Source organism: Homo sapiens, chromosome 18 (genome assembly GCF_000001405.40).
Source record: "Homo sapiens chromosome 18, GRCh38.p14 Primary Assembly".
Taxonomy (NCBI): domain Eukaryota; kingdom Metazoa; phylum Chordata; class Mammalia; order Primates; family Hominidae; genus Homo; species Homo sapiens.
Genome location: NC_000018.10, coordinates 49022803 through 49049245, shown reverse-complemented (window position 1 = coordinate 49049245; position 26443 = coordinate 49022803). Strand labels below are relative to the sequence as shown.

At 46.4% G+C, this 26443-nt stretch overlaps 1 protein-coding gene and 1 long non-coding RNA gene across 37 annotated transcripts in view, besides 4 other annotated features; one reads left to right on the top strand and one right to left on the bottom strand.

Annotated features, from left to right (window-relative positions):
- DYM (dymeclin) overlaps window positions 1-12859 on the top strand; it is a 424259-nt gene extending 411400 nt beyond the window's left edge. For all 36 annotated transcript variants that reach the window (NM_001374439.1, XM_047437559.1, XM_047437553.1 and 33 more), the window contains one exon: window positions 5042-12859. In NM_001374439.1, coding sequence (NP_001361368.1) covers window positions 5042-5191 — 150 coding nt within the window. In that variant the 3' untranslated portion in view covers window positions 5192-12859. The remainder of the gene's footprint in view (window positions 1-5041) is intronic.
- DYM-AS1 (DYM antisense RNA 1) lies at window positions 772-25543 on the bottom strand. Its single transcript, NR_148999.1, has 5 exons — window positions 25507-25543; window positions 24937-25024; window positions 23093-23209; window positions 9177-9246; window positions 772-1118 (listed from the first exon to the last, which is right to left on the bottom strand). It is a non-coding gene; the product is annotated as a DYM antisense RNA 1 (long non-coding RNA).
- Window positions 2925-3889: an enhancer, noted in NCBI's record as "H3K4me1 hESC enhancer chr18:46571727-46572691 (GRCh37/hg19 assembly coordinates)". NCBI's record gives its function as "activates a minimal SCP1, AML or CMV promoter by ChIP-STARR-seq in naive H9 embryonic stem cells {active_cell/tissue: H9 hESC(naive)}" and the evidence as "EXISTENCE:reporter gene assay evidence [ECO:0000049][PMID:30033119]".
- Window positions 3890-4855: an enhancer, noted in NCBI's record as "H3K4me1 hESC enhancer chr18:46570761-46571726 (GRCh37/hg19 assembly coordinates)". NCBI's record gives its function as "activates a minimal SCP1, AML or CMV promoter by ChIP-STARR-seq in primed H9 embryonic stem cells {active_cell/tissue: H9 hESC(primed)}" and the evidence as "EXISTENCE:reporter gene assay evidence [ECO:0000049][PMID:30033119]".
- Window positions 19317-19465: a silencer, noted in NCBI's record as "fragment chr18:46556151-46556299 (GRCh37/hg19 assembly coordinates)". NCBI's record gives its function as "represses an EF-1alpha promoter that drives an FKBP-Casp9 reporter gene in an ReSE screen in K562 erythroleukemia cells {active_cell/tissue: K562}" and the evidence as "EXISTENCE:reporter gene assay evidence [ECO:0000049][PMID:32094911]".
- Window positions 22978-23879: an enhancer, noted in NCBI's record as "H3K4me1 hESC enhancer chr18:46551737-46552638 (GRCh37/hg19 assembly coordinates)". NCBI's record gives its function as "activates a minimal SCP1, AML or CMV promoter by ChIP-STARR-seq in naive H9 embryonic stem cells {active_cell/tissue: H9 hESC(naive)}" and the evidence as "EXISTENCE:reporter gene assay evidence [ECO:0000049][PMID:30033119]".
- Window positions 25544-26443: the final 900 nt, after the last annotated feature.

Sequence of the window (26443 nt, the reverse complement as noted above, 5' to 3'; positions counted from 1 at the left end):
ATGAGTAACTATATGTAAATTCTTTGAATATGCCTGCCATATAATAGGTAATCAATTGTATTAGCTATAAATGCTAGGTATAATCTCAGAATTTATTATTTTTATGGAGAACTTCTATGGAAATAATGATCAGCTTGAAGAATAACTTCATAATAAAATCTACACGTCTTCTCTTGACAGATAAAGTTTATACTATTTTATACCATTTTTGTGTACTATCATATGCTATATACTGGATGTTCCTGAGATTTTGTTTGCAACATTTGAAAGCCATAGTTACTACCAGCCAAAGAGTGTACTTTCCGATTAGAGGAAAGATCTCTGTTGCTGAGAGATGTCCTGTGCCTTTGTGGAGGGTGAGATGAGTTATTGTTTCAACATCAACTTGAGGCATTTTCACTTCTGGTTGTACCAGGTGGTGGGAAGGATAGTCATGGGGGTGCCAGGTATTTTTTCCAGATCCTCTTTTGCAGGATTTAAGGGCAGTCTTTGACTCATTACTCCTTCTAGCGGAATAGTCATCAGAGTTTCCCCAAAGCCATGAGGGCAGGAAAACTTACTGCTAGCCCATAAACTTAGTAGCAGCCTTGCCTAAGTTTCTGTAATTCAGCTGGAAGGAATTCTTCTGAGAGCAGTTTACAGTTTATTGGTTTTATTTCCCATTCCACCCTCCTTAGAGATGCGGAAAGCAGCCTTGCATAAGCTGCCTCACAGCCTCTCCTAAGGCCTTCATGGGAAAACCCCCATGTAAGTCACTGAATGGAGAAAAGCTTTCACATCTTTGAGTCATTTTTATTTCTAACAATGAGAAGTGCGTTTTAACAGCGACATTACCACATCGAAATGTAAGATGTTATTATTCCAATGAAAACAAGCCACTGGGGGACTCTGCACACCCACCTAGCCCCTCTCTTCTCCCTGAGTCCGTGTGAGGTTTTCTAAAGTTTGAGGCCGTCCTAAGAACTAGGATTTTCATCTCCATTATCATGGATGAGTTTCATTTCTTCTTCACATAGCACCACAGTCCTCTCGTGATTATTGCCCTCATGTGGTTCTTTTTTTAAGGACCAGCAGCGTGCTGAGCTCTGTACCTCACACCCAGAAGGGTTTCGTGGAGCCTAAGAGAATCAAATTTAAGGATAAAGCATTAGGGTGGCCAGAACTCTGATGTCACTTTTCAAACTAACTTTGCACACAGTCAGACCCAGGCTTTAAACCTGACTCCACTCCAGCAGGCTGCATGACCTTGCAACCGAGCACTTAGCCTCTCTGAGCTCCGAGTTACCTTCTCTTCATGGGGTTGGCACTGGCCTCAGCGGGACATTTGGTGACTGACCAGGATGCCGTGGGAGCTTCAGACGGCATGATGTATGGGGAGCGCGGGTCGGTGGGAGCTACTTGTTGCCCCCCTCTTGCTACAAATGCAGATTTTTCACAGAAAAGAACATCATCGTGTTGGTACCTCTTAGACACCTGATTCCATGACAAAGACTTCCCTCTAAGCACCCACATACCTGAGAACCCCATGTCGGGCTGGAATCAACACAGTGTATGAGGAGGCTCCCAAACTCTCCAGGCCCTAGGATACCGCCCCACCAGCAGTTAGGGAACACCCAGAGAGCACTGTGCAGGGCAGGTGGGGTGCAAGGGGACTTCAGGAGTGGACGAGGAGGGAGTAGAAAGCTGGGGGCCTTAGGTGTCAGCTGAGAGGAGGGAAAGAATAAAGAAAGAAAAATAAAGCTGGGGCCTCATTGAACTCTGACTCGTGTCAGCAAGTGCTGGAAGTGGTGCCACATCCTGAGCTGATCAAACTTTGTCAGCCAGACTGGGCCAAAGAGCCCAGCTAAAGAAGTTGTCCCCTCCATTGCAGTCATGAGCAACATCATCAGCAGACACTGAGACTTCCAGCCTGCGCTGATGATGGCAAAGAGCTGGAAGGAAACACTGATGGTCTGAAAAGGCACAGGTTTCATTGAACTAGAACTAGTAGTTTTTGAAAAGGGGACTGCAGTGTGGGGGTGCAGGGTGTGGGGAGATCTAGGCCTAGGTAGTGCTAGAGCTTGGCGTCTATTTATATAACAGTCTGGTAGCCACAAAGTGGGGAGCTGCTGATCACTGAAGCCATAGCAGATGGGGGCTGTGTGTTGAAGTTACATCAATGGCCAGAACACCCTCCGTTTTAGGAATTCTTACACACTTGTTCAAGATGTAACTCTTGCCACAAAGTCTTTGCTGCTTCACTCTGCTCCTCTCTGATCATTCTGGAACTCTGAAGATCCAGCACTTAGATGTTTTTAGTTGGTTTTCTTAAATTTATTTTTCAAATTTAATTTTTTGGTTTAATTATTTTTAGAGACAGGATATCACTCTTAGGCCCAGGCTAGAGTGGACTGGCATGATTCTAGCTCACTGAAGCCTCGAACTCCTGGGCTCAAGCAATCCTCCCATCTCAGCCTCTTGAGTAGCTACAGACATGCGCCATCACATCTGGCTAATTTTTAAATTTTTTGTAAAGATAGGGTCTTGCTAGGTTGCTCAGGCTGGTCTTTAACTCCTGGGTTCAAGTGATCCTCCTGCCTTGGCCTCTCACAGTGCTGGGATTACAGGCGTGAGCTACTATACCTGGTCCAGATGCTTTTAGTCTTAATCACTGTAAATGTTATTTTAAAATTCTTGTTACTGTGTGTGTCTGTGTGTGTTGTGTCTGTGTGTCTGGTGTGTGTGTGTCTGTATGTGCATGTCTGTGTATGTCTGTGTGTGTGTCTGTGTGTGTGTGGGTGTGTCTGCATGTGAGTGTGTGGGTATCTGTTTTGTATGTATTGTGTGTGTATGTGTCTTGTGTGTTTTGTCTGTGGTGTGTGTGTGTGTGCATGTCTGTGTTGTCTGTATGTGCATGTCTGGGTGTGTGTGTATTGTGTGTGTCTGGTGTGTGTGTGTGTGTGCGCGCGCATGTCTGGGTGTGTTGTCTGTGTCTGTGTATATGTTGTGGGTATGGATGTTTGTGTTGTGTTTGTGTTATGTGTGTGAGTCTGTGGTGTGTGTGTCTATGTGTGCGTGTCTGTGTGTTTTATCTGTGTGTGCGTGCCTCGGTGTGTCTGTGTGTGTGTCTATGTGAGTGGTGTGTATTTGGGGATGTGGGTGTGGGTGTGTGTGTGTGTGTGCGCGCATGCAGCTCCTCTACCTGCTCCTCCCCTTTCCTAAATATCTTTTAAATCCACCCAGCTAGCATCATCCTAGTTCAGGCCTGTTTCCCCCTTCCCTGGACTAGGCTCCTGCCTCTGCCTGCTGCACTGTGCCCTCCAGTTCTCCCCGCTGTGATGGGAGCAGCCACTGCACAGTGCCATTCTCATGCCTTAGCCTTCAGGCCCTTCAGAGGCTTCCGGGACCTTATGTGCAGCTCCCCAGTCTGGCCTCTGCTCCCCGGTGTGTGCTCTTCCCCCACCCCCTCCTTAGCCTCCAGCCTCACACCCAGGCCTTTCCTGTGCGGGGCCCTCCAGGGGAGCTCACCTCCCCTTCGTCTGGCTGCCACCTCCTCCCTTCTGGCTCCTTGTCCTTCCCTGCCTTGCTGCCCTGTTATTATTGGTTTTTTGTTGCTGCTGCTGCTGTTTCTGTCTCTCTCCTCCATGAAGATTTACCTTCCATGAGAACAGGAGCTGGGTTTGGCTGCCGCACCCCCGTATCTCTAGGCCCTGGCCCACACAGTGCCTGCCTGGCACCTGCCAGCAGATAGTCAGTAGAATGAAGAATGAGTGAATGAACAAATGAATGGACTCCCATAAGAAGGACTAAATTAGATAATACATACAAAGCATCTACAGTGTGTCTGGGACATAGTTGGCCCTCAATACTTGGTTGATTGCTTCATTGATTCATTCACTCATCAGTTTATTAAGTGCCTGGCTAATATCCTTGGGGATGCAGCACCTGACAAAACAGATAAAAACCTCTCTGCCCTATGGGCCATGTCTTCCAGTATAGTATAATAAGTGTGGCTGTGGATGCATGTGGGGAAGTGTGTGGTTTCCTCTCTTTCAGCCCCCTCTTCCTCAGCCTTCCACCGTCCTCCTCCTCCCAGGACCCTGTCCCCTCTCTCCCCACCCAACCTGGGACAAGGGTCACCAAGCTGCAGCCACTCCTGCCAGCGACGCCTTGGCAAAGGAGAGGCCCAGGGGCCTTGGGTAGACTCTAGCCACTCCTCAAGCTGCTGAAAGTGGAATCACTTCCTCTGCCCTGGCTGGAATAAATAGGCCAGGAATAAAAGTAGAAAATCAAAAGCCCAAATCCCAGTGATGTGCTAAAACGCAAGTGCTGCCTTAGGCCACTGAGCTGCACGACTCCTTACATAACAGAGGACTGGAGTTTGCAGACCAGGGCACCTGCGATGTGTTTGTAGAGCCAGGCCTAGGCCTTTTCCCAGACTCCATGAGGAGCAGCCTCGGGCTCCCTCTCCGCAAAGCCAAAGCCATTGCTCCTGCCTCCAGGGAGGAAGAGACTGAGGCCAAGCTATGGCCAAGAAAGCTGGCCACCCCAGACCCCCGCTCCTCCAGAGTAGCCCCCCTCCACCGGTGGCACATGCCTACCCCTTCAGGTCAGGGCTCAGGATTGTGAAGGGGAAGGTCCTCACCTCCAGAATGGTGGAACCCTGAGGACAGTGCCTCTCAAAAGCCAGTCCCTAGCATTGCACTCTGGGGAATATCAGCCTGAGCCTTGTCTGCCTCCCAGGCAGGGTCCATGTCTCAGCTAGGATATTTCTCATCATACCTTAACCACTGTTGGGGTCCCTAGCAGGGAACTATCAGCCAAACTGACATTAGCCAACCAGGACCCATTGTGTTACTTGCTCTCTCCATCGGTAATTCACATTTTCTCAGGAGCCATTTGATAGCTGAAATATTTTAAAGCCCCAGAGCTTTCATGCCCTGTGACCAGTTGGCAGGGGTGGGTGGGCTCCCCGCACACCACAGCACCACCTGCAAACTCTCACCACTTTTGCTTGTGCATGGAACTGTGGGATTATAAAATCATCTTATTTTCATTGCAGAAATTTCCAGAATTGAAATTCAAATATGTGGAAGAGGAGCAGCCCGAGGAGTTTTTTATCCCCTATGTCTGGTCTCTTGTCTACAACTCAGCAGTCGGCCTGTACTGGAATCCACAGGACATCCAGCTGTTCACCATGGATTCCGACTGAGGGCAGGATGCTCTCCCACCCGGACCCCTCCAGCCAAGCAGCCCTTCAAGTTCTTTTATTTCTGGGTAACAGAAGTAGACAGACAGGTTACTTGGTGTATCTTCTGTTAAAGAGGATTGCACGAGTGTGTTTTCCTCACACACTTTGATTTGGAGAATTGGTGCTAGTTGGCAATAGATAACTCAGCGTAGATAGTATTGCAAAAAGGGGAGGAAATACACAACAATAATAAATGTAAAAACCTGCTATTCAACATGCAGTTTTATTTCGAAGCCAAAAATCTAGAGCTTTCCCAAGATCCTGTTGCCTTAGGCACATCACACTTCAACAGTGCACACTATCCAACAGTGCACACTATTCAACAGTGCACACTATTCAAAAGCGTAGACTATTTTTTTGCATGTTCAAGATATTTGTTTTGGTCTTATGTGTGTGTGAGAGAGAGAGATTCCTTTGACATTAAGGAGCATCAATGAGAAAAGATGATGAGGCAGGAATTAATAAAGAAATGAAGTCGTGTGTGTTTGGTTGCCTGTCAGAGGGCACACAATTTCATAAACACCATGCCTGGACAATTTGATATTAATATTTAACACCTCTGCATCTTTTCTTAAAAAAGAATATGGGCCAGATACAGTGGCTCACATTTGTAATCCCAGCACTTTGGGGAGCCAAGTTAGCAGAATCCCTTGAGCACAGGAATCTGAAACCAGCTTGGGCAACATAGTGAGATCCCATCTCTACAAAAAACTTAAAAATTAGCCAGGCATGATGGCACATTCCTGTAGTCCTAGCTACTCAGGAGGCTAAGGTAGGAGGATTGCCTGAGCCCAGGAGTTCAAGGCTGCAGTGAGCTAAGAACGTGCCAGTACACTCCAGCCTGAGCCACAAAGTGAGACCCTGTCTCGCAAAAAAAAAAAAAGAAAGAAAAGAAAAAGAAAATGGCTACTTCTCATGAAGCCCAGATTAACTTTTCTGTGAATATGGCCTGTGAACTGTTGCTGGAATTAAATTGGAGTCTAGCACAAATTAAGTTAATCTACTCTGTATTAATCATTGGGAAAAAGAAAAGCTTCATTTGAAAACAGTCTTTTTCCTTCACCCACACTAATAGAAAAAGGAGAGTAATTTGTTCATACTGTATTCCACGTGGGATGAAAAGCATGTTTTGCTCTTTGTTTCTGGGCCGGTGTGATCCGTGTGTTGGTGCCTGAGCTGGAGGAAGGAGCTTCTTGCAGGGAAACAGCCACTGGGGCCACATTGAGGGCCAGTTGGGACCTTCCTTTCCAGTCACACTCTGTGTCCTCACGGGCCCCTTCACAGTCTAGATAAGGAGCCTAGTTTCATTCTCAAAGAAAAAGTATTTGGTCTTCAACATAGAAAGCACAAAAGCCCAGACGAGACTGAGCACACTGTTCGAATCCACTGCCAGCTCATCTGTGTCAGGGCTGGCTTCTCCTGTCCTGTGTCCCAGGGCTGCAGGCCCGTGTTATTTGAGTCCATCAAATCTTCCGAGGGCCTCGGAGGAACCATTCTCAGTCACCCCAAGCTCTGTAAAAGGTCAAAACACTGGCAGCCTCTCAGTGCACCACTGTGTGGGCTCCACACGGGAAGGCCTGGCCAAGCTGTGCTCTTAGAGGCTGTCGAGGTAGGGCAGGAAGCTTCCCTATCCTCGTCTGGATGGAATGAAACAGAGGTTCCCTAAGGCCAAGGGACTCGTGGAGCGCCCATCCCGGGTGGGGTCCCAGAGGTGAGTGCAGCTTGCCTCCTGTCCCCAAGGGGCTTGTTCTGTCAGGCCTCCTCCAGTCACTGCTGGAGTGGGGACTCTGACTCCTGTGTTCACCTCAGAGCCCATGTACAGGCTAGAGGTGAGGCTTGGCAACAACTTCTACTAATACTTAGCTTTGTGGCAGAGCCAGTCTGAAGGAGGAGAAGCGCTCTCAGCCAGCAGGGGGAGTGATGATTATCATTTCAGGTAGCAAGGATATGTATTTACTATGTGGGGAAATAATTTGCAACTTTAATTTGTTTCCAAAGCATTTTGATTGGCTTCCTTTTCCTTTAAACCAAAAAATTGTTTAAATGTTTAAGGGTCATGTGGAACAGCTGAGCTTCTGGCAGGACCACAGAACTGTCCTCTGAGTCTGAGGGCTGGGCAGTGCCACAGGACAGTCCCTGGGCTGCAGGACTGTCAGTGCTTGTTGTGTGAGGAAATGAGGCCCTTCAAAAACCCAGTCATCTTGACAGAGGGCACACTCCCAAGGAAGGCCTGACTGGGGAATCATACAGCCTCTCCTCCAGGCCTCTGGGCTCACTGAGGTGCCCCCAGAACCCTGATTGCCCTCCCCTCTTTCCCTTTTCTCATTCATCACACAGTAGAAGCACTCACTAGCTAACAGCTCAGCTGGGGCAGCAGCCTCCATGGAGGCCTGCAAGTGATGCTCCCAGTCCTGGTTCCCGCTCAGGAGGGAGGCCCCACCACGTGCATCACTGCCTCAGCTCTGCAAAGTCACCAGAGGCTTCTTCCTGATTTTTGTGAAAGATTTATTATATGGCAATAAATCTGAATGATAAACTTTCATTATACTTGCATTAATTTTGAGTATTAGTTTGCTTAGAAATTTTTACACGAAGTAAAAATGTGTAATGATGCAACACAGGATCATCGTGTGTTCAGATGGAAATTGGCATCTGATTTTACCCCAGATCTGAAGCTGTTACTGCATTGTGTCATTTTATCAACAAAGACTTCTGCCACAATATTTACTTTTAAAAGAATTTGTCCCTTTCAATAGCATCTTCCCTATCAAGAGTTCAAGGCACTTTGCAGAAGAGCTTCAGATTTCTAACTCTAGTTCCCACAGTCACCCGTTGAGGCTGGTGTCATACAATCTATGAACAACAACCTTGCAGCAGGACTGCCACCATTCAGCAGTGCAGACAACACAGCTCAAGGACAAAGACAGAGAAAGGAAAGAAGAGAAGGTCCCTGAAGGTGAAGCATAGAAAGTACACTGCACACACAGTTCTCTCTGGAAGGAAAGCACAGGAGCTGGGAAGTAGACGATAGAAAGTGGAAAGGACACAGGACCAGCATCAGAACACTCAGCAACTTCCTAAGAGCTTGCTAAGGTACATCCAAGAGAAATATTTAGTGAGGGAAACTTTTAAGCACTGGAATTGTTAATATATCATACTTTAAGCAACATTTCGTCCTTTAGATTCCGGGAGCCAGGGTTTTGCATTGGGTGGTAGAGCTCTCTGCATAATTGAGTCACCCTGTGCTTTTTTGCAGAGCCATAAATTTTTGGCACTTGCTGATACTTCATAGGCTGGAGTCTCTGCAAGGTCAACCCTTTGGGTCTCTTAATTCTTTCCTAGGCACTATCCTGCAATATCAGTAGTTGCCACTTGATTTTAGGGACTGATTATTAGGCCTTCTGACTCCAAATTCAGAACAATTCCAGTGTCCTACATCACCTCCTGGAGTCAAAGAGGTCAGTTTCTATTCAGTGATGAAGAGCTAAGCTAGCTATGCATATGAAGAACTGAGAAGTAGATTATAACACACAATCCACAGCAAATAATGCATATTTATTTTGTATGAATTAAAGCATAAAATTTAATCTCATTAGCGTATAGCTATTCAGAGTTCCCACTCAAAGCAAGGGAGACTCACCAGTAGCCCCAAGACCCTTGGCCAGGTCATACTCAACCCCTAATCTAACTTCACAAGGCTGTCTAAATGTCAGCTACTCAGACACAGCCTCTGGCATTAGCAAAATCCCCCAGAGGAAAAGCAGCCCCATAGAACTGGACAAGTAATACTTAACTATCTTGTTGACTCTGGGGTCCTTCAAGCAAATTTTAAAAATATTTTTACCAGATTTCCAAGTTGTCCTTAGCTTGAGGGTTGGTCCTCCATTACTGTCATTGGACTATCCCTCATGGGTAGTGCAGTTCAACTTCTAAACCACCTCAGTACCTGAATGTGGTCCGAGGTGAAACCAGATTACTGATGCCTTCAGGTGCCCAATTGAAGCAAATGGCAAATTCTGTGGAGGAAGTAAACATAACCCAAGGCCTCAAATTATTTCTGCAGTGTTGCAATCAGAAATACCCAGGTATGGGAGAAGACCAGACAACATTAATTACTTGAATTAAAACCATTAGAGGAAAACACAGACAATAGAAATATCCAAACAGACTCCAGATAAAGTTGTCGCAGAATTTAAAACAGCTATGGTTACTGTGTTCAAAAAAATGAGACGCATGGTCAAGAATTTCAACAGAGAGTTAGAAACTGTAAAAGGCGCATTGGAAATTCTATAACTAAAGTACTGTAATGAGAAGAACAGTGAACAGGTTTAAGAGCAGATTAGAAATAACTGAAAAGAGAATGAGTAAGATGAAAAATTGAGGGTGAGGGGTGGGAGCAGGAATTATATAGTAAAAAAAACAGAACATGGAGAATAGAGGGTAAGAGACTTAAAGGGTACAGTGAGCATGTCTGACCTGCTCAGACATGCAGGGTAGTTGGCATCTCAAAAGAGTAGAAGAAAGGAATATTTAAACAAATGGCTGAGAACTTTTCCAAAACTCATGAAAGATATCACACCAAAAATTCAAGAATCCCTCCCACAAACTCCAAGTGGGATAAATAAAAACAACCCACACCTAGAAACATCATAGTAAAACTGTTGAAGACCAAAGAAAAATAATATTTTAGACCTGCTGGGGTGGGAGAGGGAATATAACCATTAAAGGAGCAATAATATTAGACTGACAGCTCCTTCTCAGCAGAAACAATGGAAGACAGTGAAATACTGCCTTTTATGGTTCTGAAAGAAAATGACTGCCAACCTAAAAATTTCTAATCAGGGAAAATATCCTGCAAAAATGAAGAGGATATGAAGACATTTTTAGAGAAACAGCTAGAAGAATTAATCAGCACGCCTACCCTAAAGGAAAATTTAAAAGGTGTTTTACAGGCAGAAGGAAAATAATCCCAAACGTAAGGACAGAGCCCTAGGAAAGATTGAAGAGCAATGAAAATGACACATAAATATTGACTACATAAAACAATAATTATGTCTTATGGAGTTTTAAATATATAGAGAAATAAAATGTATGAAAATGAAAGGATTTATGTGGGAATTTTAAGTGTTCTAAGACACTTGGCATCATCCAAGAAGAGAGTAAAAATTCATTTAATATTAGTCTTTGATAACTCATGTATGCATGATAATATTTGAGATATCAATAAAAGTGTATAGCTTTCCACATAATAAGAGAGAATTCGAATAATCAATTCAGTGGAAGATTTAAGAATTGCAAAAGAGTCTAAGAAAGAAGAAAAAGCAGAACAGGTGGAACAAATAGAAAGCAAGATATTTGTGATAAATCCATTATTACACTAAATGTAAATGGACTAATGCTCAAATGTTGACAAATATTGTCAGCCTTGTTTTAAACCATATGCTATTTACAAGAGACATTTTTAGAACATGAATTTAGAAATTTTGGAAGAAAAAGATGGAGAAATACATACCCAGCAAACAGTAACCATGAGGAAACTGGTGTAGATATATTTAAGTAAACTTTAAGGCAATAATTTTTTTAAGAAATAAAAGGGTCAATTCAATTACTAGAAAGATAATCTAAATTTATATGCACTTAAAATATAAACTCAAAATATGTAAAAGAAAATTTGATAGGAAATTTAGACAAATATGCAACCAGAGTGATATTTTAACATGCCTATTTTGTTAATTGGTAGAAAAACTAGCATACAAAAATCAAGTTATAAAAGATTTAAGCAATGAAATGAGCAAACCAAACGGATGTATGTAGGACACCAAACTCAATAACATACTTTTCAAACACAAATGGCACACACTCCAAAATACTGGGCTATAAAGGTTTCAACAGGCTAGGCACAGTGGCTCACATCTGTAATACTAGCACTTTGAGAGGCCAAGTCAGGAAGATCACTTGAGCCCAGGAGTTTGAGACCAGCTTGGGCAACATAATGAGGCCCCACCTTTACAAAAAATAAAAAAATTAACTGGGCATGGTGGCATGTGCCTATAGCCCCAGCTACTTGGGAAGCTGAGGCAGGAGAATCACTTGTGCCCAGGAGGTCGAGGCTGCAGTGAGCTATAATTGCACTACTGCACTCCAGCTTGGGTGACAGAGCAAGACCCTGTCTCAGAAAAAAAGTCTCAACAAACCTGAAAATACTTCAAATGAAATATGTTCTCTGACCATAATAGAATCAAGACTAATTATTTACAAAAAGATAATTTTATAATCCTCATATTTTTGGAAATAGATTTCCAGGTAACCCATCTGTCAGAATCTTAATGGAAATTTGAAATATTTTGAACTGATCATGAAAATACTACATATCAAAACAGAGAAAAAACTTGTGGGATGCAAATAAAACTATGCTTAGAAGACCTTTTAATTTTATTTTAAATTTAAAGAGTACCTGTTCAGGTTTGTTACAAGAATATATTGATGATGCTGAGGTTTGGGCTCCTAATGATCCTGTCACCCAGATAGTGAACATAGTACCCAATAGAAAGTTTTTCAGCACTTGCTTCCCTCTCTCCTTCCCTTCCTCCCTCGTTTTGGAGTCCCTAGTGTCTATTGTTCATATATATATATACACACACATATATATTTAAATGTTTATGTTAGAAAAGAAGAAAGGTTAAAAATCAATTAAGCAATTACCTCAAAAATTTTAAAAACAGCACATGAAACCCAAAAATAAGCCAAATTACTGATATAGAACACAAATATACAATAAAGGGAATCAAAGTCAAAAGTTGGTTATTTAAAAGGATTAAGAGGACTCATTGGCTGGGCATGTTGGCTCACATGTGTAATCCCAGCACTTTGGGAGTCACCTGAGGTCAGGAGTTCAAGACCAGCCTGGCCAACATGATGAAACCCCGTCTCTACTAAAAATACAAAAATTAGCTGGGCGTGGTGGTGGGCATCTGTAGTCCCAGCTACGCAGGAGGCTGAGGCAAGAGAATTGCTTGAACCTGGGAGGTGGAGGGTTCAGTGGGCAGAGATTGTGCCACTGCACTCCAGCCTGGGCAACAGAGCGAGACTCCGTCCCAAAATAAATAAATAAAAGAATTCATAACCCCTTAAAAGACTGATCAAAGAAGGAAGGAGAAAGGGCAGGAGAGAGGAATAGCCAATATCAGAAAGGAAAACAGGTAAGTTACTTCAGATTATGCAGACATTTAAAATATTTAAGAGCCAGCCTGGATAACATGGTGAAACCCTCCTGTCTCTACACACACACACACACAAATTAGCTGAGCATGGTGGTGTGTGCCTGTAGTCCCAGCTACTGGAGAGGCTAAGGTAGGAGGATTACCTGAGCCCAGGAGGTAGAGGCTGCAGTGAGCTGTGGTCATGGCACCACACTCCAGCCTGGGCAATGGAGTGAGAGACCGTGTCTCAAAAATATGTATACATATTTAAGAGAATATTATGAATACCAATAAATTTTAAATCTAGTTGAAATGATCTTTATTGCAGTGATAGGTGTATACATATGTCTAATCAAATTGTACACTTTATTACATATGTGCAGTTTTATATATTAAGTATGCCTCATTAAAGTTGTTTTTAGATTTTGCATAAAATGAACAAATTCTTTAAAAAAAAAAAAAAACTCTCCAAAACTGACATGAAACGATCCTGAACATTGGAATCATCCTATATCTAGCGCATACATTGAGTCCATAATTACAATCTGCCACAGGAAATTTACAGACCAAGATGGCTTCAGTAGTGAATTTAACCAAACATTTAAGAGTGAAATAATGCCAGTTTTAGACAGTCTCCCAGAAAATAGAAAAACCTTCTAATTTGTTTTATGAAAACAGCTTAACCTTAGATATAAAGAATTTGCCAAGAACAATACAAGAAAGGAAAATTATAGGCCAGTCCTCATGGTATAGATGCAAACAGAAACTAGCAATCTACAAAAACAATGTGTAAAAATACATCATGATCAAATTGGATTTGTCATTCACAAATCAATTAGAGTTATTCAAAGAATACAGAAGGAAAAGTAAATGATCTCAATAAATGCAGGGGAAAATGTGATAAAATTCAGCAGTCAAGTGCTAGAAATGTTTAGCGAACTAGGAAAAACGGAAGCTATCTTAATCTTATAAATATTATTTTAAAACTACAGCAAACGCATCATACTTAAAATATCAAAAGCTTTCATTCTGAGATCAGAAGCAAAAAAAAGGATGTCTATTATCACTTCTATTCAAAATGTCGCTAGGTGATGCTATGCATGCCTAAGTATTTAGTGGGGAGTGTACTGGTACCTTAAATTACTTTGAAATGCATCATGAAAAGGGAAAAAAGGATGGCTTGATGGATAGATATATATGTGATAAAGCAGATATAGTAAACTTGGTAAAATCTAGAATGGTAGAATCCAGATGGTGGGTATACAAATGTACACTGTACAATATTCAATTTTGCTATACGTTGAGGAAACTATCACCTGAGTTCCTGGCCTAGTATGGCAAGATTTCCTTTTAAATTAATTGGGTAGGGTCAGAAGAAAATGAACTATCATTATTTGTAAATGACATGATTGAGGATATAGATAATTTAAAGAATTAGCCAATAAACTAGTAAAATTAACAAGGCTTCTGGACACAAGGTCACAGACAAAAATAACGTGTATTTCTGATGCTAGCAATAAACAATTAGACAATGAAATTGCAAAGGATATGAACAGATACTTCTCAAAAGAAGACATTTATGCAGCCAAAGACACATGAAAAAATGCTCATCATCACTGGCCATCAGAGAAATGCAAATCAAAACCACAATGAGATACCATCTCATACCAGTTAGAATGGCGATCATTAAAAAGTCAGGAAACAACAGGTGCTGGAGAGGGTGTGGAGAAATAGGAACACTTTTACACTGTTGGTGGGACTGTAAACTAGTTCAACCATTGTGGAAGACAGTGTGGTGATTCCTCAAGGATCTAGAACTAGAAATACCATTTGACCCAGCCATCCCATTACTGGGTATATACCCAAAGGATTATAAATCATGCTACTATAAAGACACATGAACATGTATGTTTATTGTGGCACTATTCACAATAGCAAAGACTTGGAACCAACCCAAATGTCCATCAATGATAGACTGGATTAAGAAAATGTGGCACATATACACCATGGAATACTATGCAGCCATAAAAAAGGATGAGTTCATGTCCTTTGTAGGGACATGGATGAAGCTAGAAACCATCATTCTGAGCAAACTATCCCAAGGACAGAAAACCAAACACCACATGTTCTCACTCATAGGTGGGAATTGAACAATGAGAACACTTGGTCACAGGGTCAGGAACATCACACACTGGGGCCTGTCGTGGGGTGGGGGGAGGGGGGAGGGATAGCATTAGGAGATATACCTAATGTAAATGATGAGTTAACGGGTGCAGCACACCAACATGTCACATGTATACATATGTAACAAATCTGCACGTTGTGCACATGTACCCTAGAACTTAAAGTATAATAAAAAAATAAATAATAAAACAAATACTCAGAGATCAATCTAAAATAAAGTGTGATTGAAACTAAAGATCTAAATAAGGGTTCCCTAAATAAGGGACCACTCCAGGGTCATTAGATTCATAAGTTGGAAGGCTCGATATCTCAGAATTGATCTACGGATTCAATGCAATCTCAATCCAAATCCCAGTATTTTGGGGGAATGGGAAAACTTGACAAATTGGTTTTGCCTAAAATCTACATGGAAATGCAAAACGCCTAGAATTGCACAGAAAACCTTGAAAAAGAATAAAGCCCATACTTACATTGCTAGATGTCTACAACTTACAGATGTACTCTAATTAAAACCTATAGGCCAGGTGCAGTGGCTCACACCTATAATCCCAGCACTTGAGAGGCTGAGGTGGGAGGATTGCTTGAGACCAGCCTGGGCAACATGGTGAAACTCTGTCTCTACAGAAAATTTTAAAAATTAGCCAAGTGTGGTGGTGCACACCTGTAGTCCCAGCAGCTGGAGAGGCTGAGGCAGAAGGATTGCTTGAGCCCAGAGGCAGAGGTTTCAGTGAGCTGAGACTGCACCACTGGACTCCAACCTAGGTGACAGAGCGAAATCCTATCTCAAAACGAAAACAAAGACTTACAAATTTACTCTAAGTTTAGTATTGTTATAAGGGTAGACAAAACATATTGATGAAATAGAACTTAAAGGTCCACATATATAAGGACAATTGATTTGACAAAAGGGACACTGCTGGGTAATGGGGAAATGATTTTTTTCCCCAATAAATGGCGTTGGCACAGTGAAGGGAAAATGAATCTTGACCCCTACTTCACTCTGTCTGCAAAATCAGTTCCCAGGGGACTATAGAGCTAAATGTGAAATGTTAAACCATAATATTCTAGAAGAAAGCATAGGAGACTATCTTCATGTCCTTTAGATAGAAAACAAAAAATACCAACCATAAAGAAAAGGTCAGATAAATCAGATTACGGTCAAATTAGGAACTTCTGTTTAACAAGAGACATCAATAAGAGAGTGAGAAGGTAAGCTACAGAGTGAAAGCAGATCTTTGTAATGTATAGAACCACAAAGGAGTCAAATAAAGACTATATAAAGGATTCAATGAGGAAAAATAAAATTGGCAAAAGACAGGCATTTCTCAAAAATGTTTTCAGTTCACCAATAACATAGAAAAGTGCTGAAATCAAGGAAAAATTCAAATTGAACCCACAATGAGATACCCCCTACTCACTCACCAGAATGGCTAAGTTAAAAAGGTCAACAACATCAAGTGTTTGTGAGGATGTGGAAGAACAGGAAATCTGATACCCTACATGTAGTCCATGTAGGACTATAAATTGATAGCACTTTGAAAAACTGTTTAGTAATATCTACCAAAGTTGAAGATACTCATCCCCTAAGACCTAGCAACAGGTTCAAGACTGTTGATAGTGCAATTATTCATAATACCTAAAAACTGGAAACACCAGGAATATCAACAGTAGAACGTGTAAATAAATAGCAATATATCTATGCAATGTAATACTATACAGCAGTGAAAAATAAATAACCAGCTGCATTCAGTTACACAGATGAAACTCAAATATTATAGCATCTAAAAGAAGACTGATACAAAAGAATACATACTGTATGAGCTCATTTACATACAGAAAACAAGGCCAAAATAAACCTATAGTTTGGGGATGTACACTTAAGTAGTAAAACTTTGAAGAAGGACAAGTACATGCCTAATGTGAAAGCCAGGATACGGGTTACTTTTGGGAAAACAGAAGCGACCGTGATTGGGAGAGGCATAGGAGGGACTCGGGAAGCTGGCAGCGTTCTATTTCCTCATGGCCAGTGGTCATGTAAGTGTTTCATTGGCAATAAATCAGTGAACTGTTCATTTTCATCTTATGTATTTTCTGTATGTTTATTAGATTTTACAATTAAAACTGTTAAAGCTAATCTAAAGCTAATTTGCATTTTAAACAAGACTGATAGAAATTTACCACAGAATAAGTTAGTCATTTCTCTTAAATGTTTCCTCACCCACTAAATTCTAGATGGGTCTTGCTAGAGGAACAGTATTGTAACTAGTCCTAAAACAATGAATGAAACAGAGAAGATCTGGCTTCTGGGAGGTTGAGTTGGTTGTTTTTCTTAAGTTCTCAAGCTTTCCTCTTGGATATTCGATTACTGTTAAATGAATTTCTACCGACTGATGCATGGAGCCCAGTGAAATGGCTGTTCATTGAAATGAATGCCAAAATCGCCCCTCCCCACAGACACTTACTGACACCCCACAGTAGGTGTCAGTAAGCCCTGATGAGCCCAGTCTCTACCCCCAGCCCCTTTCCCCCGCTCAGTGCTGTCGGGCCTCACACCTGAGCATGAGCAGGGCGACCCTCCGCACCCAGCCAGGAACACTGCCTGCCATGAGAAGGGCCCCCTCCCCCTAAGCATGGGGATTCCTGGTCTGTGTTCTTACCACTTCCTGAGGCAGAGGAGGGGCCTCCAACCCAAGACGGAATTTCTCTACACGTGTGGCAGCTGCTGTCTGGGCTTTGGGCCCCCAGCTCTGAGCCAAGGCCATGGAGAGACACTTAAATGTAAAGCCCTCGTGGCCACCCTGGGCTTTGGGGAAGCAACTCCACTCTTCACCCTACTCTGGCATTCACTGGCCGCGTGGCCTTGGCAAGTCCCCCACACTTCCTGACGTCACCGTCTTCCTTGTGAAACGGGACGTTTACATGAGACACTGTGTAAGGGGGTGACATCCTCATGACATTACAGTTCACGTTTCCATCTTCTCACATGCCTGTACTCATCTGGGCCCCGGCCCCACCCGTGATAGAGGAAAGACAGAGAAAGAGGCTGAGAAGTCACACCGCACCTCAGATCTCATCATTCTCCCACACCCCACCACTGTCCTCAAAATCCTTATTTTTTTGGAACATCGAGAAGCCCCTTGCACCCAGCTCCCACTATGTGGATGGGGACATGGATTGCTTCCTTGAAAATGTTGCTATTGCAGCTGATAGAGTGGGTCCACTGTCCCTGAAGGGGGCCCAGGAAGAGCTTGTCAGAGAAGAGACCTCCTCCCTGGCCTCCAGGGTCCTTCACTGCACTTGGGGAGATGAGACAGATTAGCGTGTGAGCCAGGGACGTAATTCAGCCAAACCATCACGGAGGCTTGGGGGTGGGCACCCATCCGTGATCATCTTCCATGACTCCAGAGCCTGAGTTTCAGTTCCATGTGCCAACTGTGAAAGCTCAGGCTGACACAGTCTCTTGGGGGCTCAGTTTCTACATCTTCCTATACCAAGGTGTGGTGGAACAAGGTTAGAGTCATCGAAAACAGGCCATTTGCTTCTTTGGGCAGGGTTACTAGAGGGTTAGGGCACCCGCCAATGGAGAGGTGGTGACCTAAGCAACAGTTCTCAAAGTGGGATCAGGAGACCTGGGGATCCCTAAGGTGCTTTCATCATCATCATCATCATCATCATCATCATCATCATCATCATCATCATGTTATTTGCCTTTTCTCTTTCATTCCTTCATGAATGTTCGGTGGAGTTTTCCAGAAGCTGCATGTGTGTGATATTGCAACAGATTGAATGTGGAAACTGATATGAGAATCCAGCTGTCTTCTATTAAGGCAGACACTAGAGATTTGCAAAAATGCAAAACGATGCCACTCTTTTCACAAATCTTTTTTTCTTTTGAAACATAGTATTCTTCATAAAAGTTATTTATGTTAGCATGTCATGGGTTTAGTATTGTTACTCTTTAGTGAGTTACTATTTTTAAATTTCTGTTTAATTTTTTAATAAATATGGACAGATATAACCCACATAAACAAAAGTTTTTAGGAGTCCTCAGTAGTTTTTAAGAATGCAAAGTTGTGCCAATCCCAGAGACTTTGAGAACTGATCTGAGGATGGTTTCTAGAGGGATGGTTCTGGTCTCTGCTTCTCAGCCCAGCCCTGTACAACAGTTTTATCAGCGTGTGGAGGAAGATATAGAAAGAATGTTCTCCACATCTGTGAATGATGAGGTGACGGGGCTACTCAATACAGCACATGATAGAGAGGATCCAGAGAGAGGAATGGGCTGAGTCCCAGGGATGAGATGTGGCAGGAACCATCGTGGAGCTCAGCCCTTGCATCTGGTGGTTTGGGTTTAGGAAAACGAGTCCCACTCGGTGGCTTCACTCAGGACAGTATTTAGGAGTTCCAGTTGTGTGTAGTGGCTGCCAAAAATGATGATGTGATTATTCCTCATTGGTAGATATAACGGGTACCCAGGACAGGGTGGTCACCATGCTGATGACAAATTCAGCTTTTGTCTATCTATAAATGCCTTTCTTTTATCTTCATTTTTGAAGATGTTTTCAAAATTCTAGGTTGGAGTCTTGCTCTGCACAGGCTCAGCTTAGCCAGTGACTTAAGAGGAATTACTGGCAAATTTGGGGCTCCTTCCTCTCTAGTATATTGTCCCTCTTCTTCCAGCCACACTGGCTACCCCAACCTGCACCCTCTGACTCGCAAGCCCAGGAAGACTGTGACTTTGCTTCGGCTCTATTTCCTGGGTCCTGGTGCACCGGAAGGGCCGTGGGGAAATGCAGGTGAAGGAGGATGTTACTTAATGATGTCTCCCTTTCCCTATCCAACATCCACGCACAGCCGCCTTCCCCTGCAGAGAGCACCACACACCCTCCCCAAAGAACAGGAGCCCGAAGACAGTTCCATGTTGTGACTGCACCGGCCTCATGTCTGGCTGTGGCCTTCCTTCCTACATACAGGAGGCAAGAGTTTGACCTAACCTTTTTCCACTGCATAACAAGAGACACCAGCTTTCTACCCATGCTGGGTGAATTCCCACCATCTACCACCAGCCATCTCCCGTAAGTGCATTTTAGGTGATGTTATTTGCAGTAAACATGTAATCTACTTGAGCTAATTTGGGGAAAAAAGCGTTTATTTCTGAATATTAGATAGCTGCCCAATTCCAGGGTGAGCCAGGGACCTAAGCTTGGATGACACCCAGCCAGGGTAAACTCCCAACTGCTCCCCAGGACTGAGAGGCAACGTGGCTGCTGCCCTGCCCAACACTCGGCATCCTGCCATGCAGCTAGAGACCAGTCGTGAGACTCTGCCCACAATGACCCCGGAGAAGCCAAGGGCCACTACTTTGCCTGCATGCCCACGTACTTGCCGTACCCAATGCTCACTCCACTTTCCAAGTCCCAGCTGGGTGGCCCTTCTTGGAGAAAGCTGGGCTGAATGCAGAACCCCAGCCTCAGAAGTGCCTGGAGAATGAAGCCTTTTGCTTTCCAGCCTCTACTGTCTGGAGAGCCCTCTCTATGTGGGGAGATTGTGTCTCGAAGACAGACCATGATGTGTGCACTTCAGCTTAGGCTATGGTTTGAGGCTTAAGTGAAATAGCATTCAAAGAATGGAGAATGTGGCTGGACCTGTAATTCCAGCACATTGGAAGGCCAAGACAGAAGGGTCACTTGAAGTCAGGAGTTTGAGACCAGGCTGGGCAACATAGTGAGACCCTGTCTCTACAAAAAAAAAAAAAAAAAATAGCCACATATGGTGGTGTGTGCTTGTGGTGCCAGCTACTCAGGAGGCTGAGGTGGGAGGATTCCTCGAGCCCAGGAGGTCAAGGCTGCAGTGAGCCATGACTGTGCCCTTGTATTCCAGCCTGGATGACAGAGCAAGACTATATTTTTTTAAATGGAGAATGTACCTTCTCAGGGAGCAGGGATTTATGTGTGATTTCTGCACATCTGCATCCCACACCTTGTAATCTACCTGATTACAAGAAATAATGGTTGAATAATGTGAGCATTTAGCACTGTGTCTAGAAATGGTAAGCCCTAAGGAAACCAGAGCTGGTGTCATCTCACAGGTTAGGAAGCCCCAGTGAGGGCGAAGACAGCAGCTCAGTGCCATCCTAAGGTCCTATGCTGTGTCCCTCTGTACTTGACACCCTCTGGCTGGCTTCCCTCATACTCACAAGAGGGCTGCCACAGCTCCTGGTGTTACATCAGAGCGTGATCTCATCTGGAGTACAGCTCAGGAGTGGGGCTCCTCTCCCAGAGGCCCCTTCACATTTCCATGCCCAGGCCTGTTTCCCACACCCATTCCTAAACCATTATTGGCAAGGACAGGAGTCCCCATCATGGCACCGAATCAGGGTCGGGGGCCAGCCCACTTAGCTGCGGAGAGGAGAGTGAGTCCCAGGATATTAATCAGGCTCTGATATGGTTGGGATGTTGGTCCCCTCCAAATCTCATGTTGAAATGTGATCCCCAATGTTGGAGGTGGGGCCTGGTGGCAGATATTGGATCATGGGGGCGGATCCCTCATGGGTGGCTTAGTGCCATTCCCTTGGGGATGAGTGAGTTCTTACTCAGTTAGATCTGGTCATTTAAGAGTCTGGGGCCTCCCCCTTGGCTCTCTTGCTCCCTCTCTCGCCACGTGATACACTGGCTCCCACTTCGCCTTCAGCCATGACAGTAAGCTTCTTTTGGCCTCACCAGAAGCTGAGCCGATGCTGGTGCCATGCTTCCTGTACAGCCTGCAGAACCATAAGCCAATCGAACCTCTATAAATTACCCAGCCTCAGGCATTCCTTTATAGCAACATGAAACAGACTAACACAGACTCTTTCAGGAAGAAGGACAGGGAACGCAGGGATGGGCAGGTGACCAACCATAGTTTGCCCACGGGCAGAGGAGAAGGTCATGGCCAGGTGTGTAGTGAGAATCCCCAACCAGAGCCCTCCCAAGTCCCGGCTCTCAGCCCTTCAGTCAGATGAAGCTGCTCCGGAGCCAAGGGACAGTTCCCAGGACAAAGTCCAGCTCTGCCCATGGTTGGCCAGGAGGCATGGAGAACAGACATGTCCATAGCCCTTCATGGCCTCCCCAGCCAGTCCTCAGCACCCACTACACACACACACACACACACACACACACACACACACACACACAGAGACTGCATGATGGAAGGCAACTTCTCCACCTCCCGGAGTCTGCTTAATAGGAAACAGGGTTTAGTGGAACAATTGATGGCAGCCCGAGACCTCAAACTGGAAACATCTGTCCTTGCCATAGCTCACCCTCCCCAATCCAGCCCCAGCCCAGCTCCTGAAGGGGCCCACCCGCCTGGCCTGGGGGACTCAAAAACCTTCCAGGGATAAGAGTGGAGTCCCCAGCCTGGGAGAGGTCTGCAGGCTCCCAGCTCTGGACCCCAGTGCCGACTCAGGGCTGATGGTCCCAAGGAAGCCCTGAGCTAGACTTTATTTACCCACCCCACTGGGGGCCAGGGCTGAGCAGAGAGATGTCTCAGGGGAGGGGTGTAGCCTTAGCCCCCCGCCCCAAGACCCTCACTCGTCCCCCTGCCTCTGCTCTGTCCGGACCACCCTTTCTGTCCCATCTCCCTGGTCAGTCACTGTCCCCCTTCAAGGCCAGACTCAGCAGCTGTCCTTGCAGCCAACCCAGCTGGTCAGATGCCCCTCCCTGGGCCCACAGTGTCCCGGTCGGGACCCTGACTCCACGATGTTAGGAAGCCCCTCGGGGCAGCGTCATGCCATGCGCTTCACACAGGAGCCCCATCGCCATGTTGGCATCTGTAAGGTCCCCAGGAACATCCGGACAGGAGAGGTGACCAGATGCTCCTGAGACCAAGGAGCTATGGCACAGGGTTGGGGCCACACTGAGTTCCAAACCACGGAAGCTGATACCCACACACTTGGCTCCCTCCTGGCCACTACTGCTGGGGCAGAGACCAGGGTGCTCCCCACCTCCCCACCTGGCTACCCTGGACAGAACCTGGCCCTGCAGCAGCTGCCTGGCTACCCAGGGGCACCTGTGTGCCTGGGCTGTCACTGGACTCTCTGAGCCTCAGTTTCCCCATCTGTACCTGGAATGCCAAGCCTGTAGAAGCAGGACTGTGGAGCACAAGATGACAGATGCAGAGTGCCCAGGAAGCAGGGGATGGAGAAATGGCAGGGGCTCAGTGGTGGCGACTGTCACTGCAGGCTGCCAGCAATATTGGTCCCGACCTGAATTCACCTGGATGACAACCTCATGGAGGGAATTTCCCTGGGTGTGTGTTGAAGAGATGCAAAGACCAGGCAGTGGGGCGGAGCAGCACCTAAGCCCCAAGAGCTCTGCCCAGAGCCTGGCATGGGGGGCCTTGTGGTGGGGCTGTCTGTCTTTTGGGTGAGTGTAGAGGGAGCAGAAGAAACTGCCTGGGGCCAGAGCCTGGGTCTTAGCCACCTCTGAGGAGGACTCACCTCATTGACCAGTTTAAATCCCGCCTCCTCCAGGAAGCTGTCCTGGATCAGCCCAGCTCCAGTATCCTTCCTTCCCGGGCTCCCAAAGCTCAACCACAGTCCTGCCATTCCCGTTACCTGCCAAGCGCACAGGACAAACAAAACACCAGCATCAGCGATGAGGAGCTGGCCCTTCCTGTGCCAGGTCACCAGTCTGCATAATGGGGATGACATTCTTCCCTACAGACCTCAGAGGCCGTGGAGGCCAGAGGGGAGGTTGGCCCGCCCTGAGGCTAGGAGGAGGCTTCCACTTGGCAGGGGGCTGTTGGCTGAGGGATGTAGGGGCTGAAGGATCTATTGTCATTGGGAGAGGCTGGTGCCAGGGTGTGTGGAGAGGGGGCACTCAGGGAGGTGAGTCCTGCTCAGGGTCGGTCCTGCCCAGCCACTGGCTGCACCAGTTAAAGCCCCACCAGGACAGAGCTGGCAGAGCAGGGGTGTCCAGGGCAGAGAAACATCCTCAAACCAGCCACTCCCCACCCCATAGAGAGCAGGAAGCCCCAACTCAGCCTCCTCCTGGGCGTAGAGACCAGGAAACCAGATGTGGTGAGACGGCCATCTCAAAATGCACACATCTTCAAAGCGGGGCTATTTTCCATGTCCTTTGGACAATTTTAGAACAAATTTGTAACACTGGGATGCTAATGGATGACAGTCATGCTGTGTTCATGCAGGTATCTGTGTCTGGGCACCTTCGGAGGCTGTTGCTGATACAGCATCTTGGGAGGTGGGGTGGGGAGGTGTTTCTTAAAGGACCTCCAGATTTCCTTTTAGGTTCACTGCATGTTGCAAAGGACTGAACCTTCAGGAACTGGGGGAGGGGCTACAGAGCCAGCTGGCGAGGGGGTGTGGGCAGCCCTGAGGACCCCCTGTCTGGGGGGGTGGGGGTGGAAGGCACAGTTTCGTCTGAAACCACCCTTCACACACCCCCTTCTCCCAGCTCCACACGGAATCCGGGTGTATTCACGCGCTGAGGCCACCACGACAAAGTGCCACAAACAGGGCGGCTGAAACAACAGATGTGTATTTTCTGACCATTCTGGAAGCTGGATGTCCATAATCAGGGCATGGGCAGGGCTGGCTGCCCCTGAGGCCTCTTGGAGAGGCCTTGCCTGGCTCTTGGAGCAGCTGCCCTTAGTGGTGGGGCTTGCAGACGGCCACCTTCCTGCCGCGGCCTCGCACGGTTGCCCCTGGTCTGTGTCTTATCTGTGCCCTAATCTCCTCTTCTTTTAAGGACATCTGTCATGTTGGATCAGGGCCCACCGATATGGCCTCACTTTAACTTCACTACCTCTCTTTAAAAACCCCATCTCTGGGCCAGGCACAGTGACTCATGCCTGTAACCCCATTGCTTTGGGAGGCTGAGGCCAGGAGCTTGAGACGAGCCTGGGCGACATGGTGAAACCCCATATCTACAAAAAAATACAAAAATTAGCCAGGCATGGTGGTACCTACCCCTCATCCCAGCTACCAGGAAGTCCGCGGCAGGAGGATCTCTTGAGCCCAGGAGGTAGAGGCTGGGGAGGGCCGTATCATGTCACTGCACTCCGGCCTGGGGGACAGAGTGAGGCCCTGTCTCAAAAAAACAAAAACAAAACAAACCCATCTCCAACACAATCCCATTCTGAGGTACCAGGGGTTAGGACTTCAGTGGAGGAACTGGGGGGACATAATTTAGCCACAACACCAGACGCCTCTCATTACTTTGGTCTGACCCTCAGTGCTTCCCTGTTTAACCACGTTTCTTTGCTTTCCTCTTCTGTCAGGGGCCCTCCCCACTCCACACTCCCTGCCCAACATACACCCACCCATACACAGGATTGGGGGTCCGAGAGCAGCTCCTTTGCCATCCCCGCCAGCCTGAGCTTTCTTCTCACCCAGCAGAGCTGTCCATCCCTGAAGCAGAAACGTGGGGTCCACTGCTCCCAGGCAGCTCTCTCCCTGTGAACTCTGATTCTGCCTCCTCCTGGGGATGAAGGCCCCAGGGTTCCCCATCAGCCCTCCAGCCTGGCCTGATTTGTACAGCCCCTCCCTGGACCATCTCTCTGCGGCACCCCAGAGGCGGCTCAGTAGACCAGGTGACCAGGACAAGGGCCGCAGGAGGTTCGGGAGGAGAGGCAGGCCAGGGCCAGGGTGCTTTGGGCTGCCGAGGAGACGTCCCACAGGCCACCCAGGATGTGGTCTGCCCCGGGGACATGGATTTGGGGTCCTGTGCATGGGAGATAAGCATAAGCTAAGGTGGAGATCCTGGGGTACACCCACATTTAGGGGTGCTGGACAGAAGGGAGCTCCTTGGGGGGAACTGAGGCCCAGGCATGGAGGAGGAGGAAGGAACAGAAGGGAGAAGGGGTCATAGAAGCCAAGGGCCAGGGTATCACCGAGAAGGCTGGAATGGGGCTGAGAGGTGAAGAAAGGTCACGCAGAAATGAGCACAATGAATTCAGCCACCCAGAGGTGCCAGGCTCCGTGGTGACAGGAGTCTTTGTACAGGGTGGGCAGGAAGCAGGTGGCAGCTGTTTTGTTTATCAGTTACTGCATGACAAGTAACGCCAGAACTCAGCTGCTTCAAACAACCGTTTTCTTATGCACCCAGATTCTGTGGTTAGGAGATCGGACAGGGCGCAGAAGGGGCAGCTTGCCCCGTCCATGATGTCTAGGGCTCACTGGCAGGTCTCCAAAGCTGGAGCCAAAATGACCTGGACGTGAATGTCTTCCCTCAGGTCTTGGGGGGCGACGCTGGCTGTGGTCTGGGACTTCAGCCGGGGCTGTCAGCTGGAACCTGGCCTAGGGCCTGGGATTCCTCCCAGCATGGGACCTCACAGTAGCTGGACTTGGACGTGGTGGCTCAGGGCACCAAGCAAGTGTCCAGCACACCAAGCCAAGGCTCCATCACCATTCACTCCAGAGCCTGAAAAGAGGGAAGGCAGCATCATAGAGGGGCTGAAGAACATGGACCCCGGAGACAGACCACCTGGGTTCCAATCACACTCCAGCACGTACTGGCTGTGGGACCTCTCAGGGCCTCCATTTCCTTATCTATAAAATGGAGGTAATAATTGATGTTCACGCAAAGCTGTTACGAAGATTAAGCCCGTGCTGCAAGGTGGCGCCCTCAGAGCAGAGCCTGATGCATCCATGGTCCATGCCTCACAGGTGTGTGTTGCTGGAAGTGTTATCCCGAGGGGAGCTCCTAAGAGGCAAGGCATGGGCACGCCTGTGGGAGGGGAGGCGGGAGCCCAGGGAAGGGAGAGCCTGCAGCCTCGGGGGTGGGTGGTGCAGGCCTTCCAGGGGCCAGGGCAGCCTCCACGTGCAACG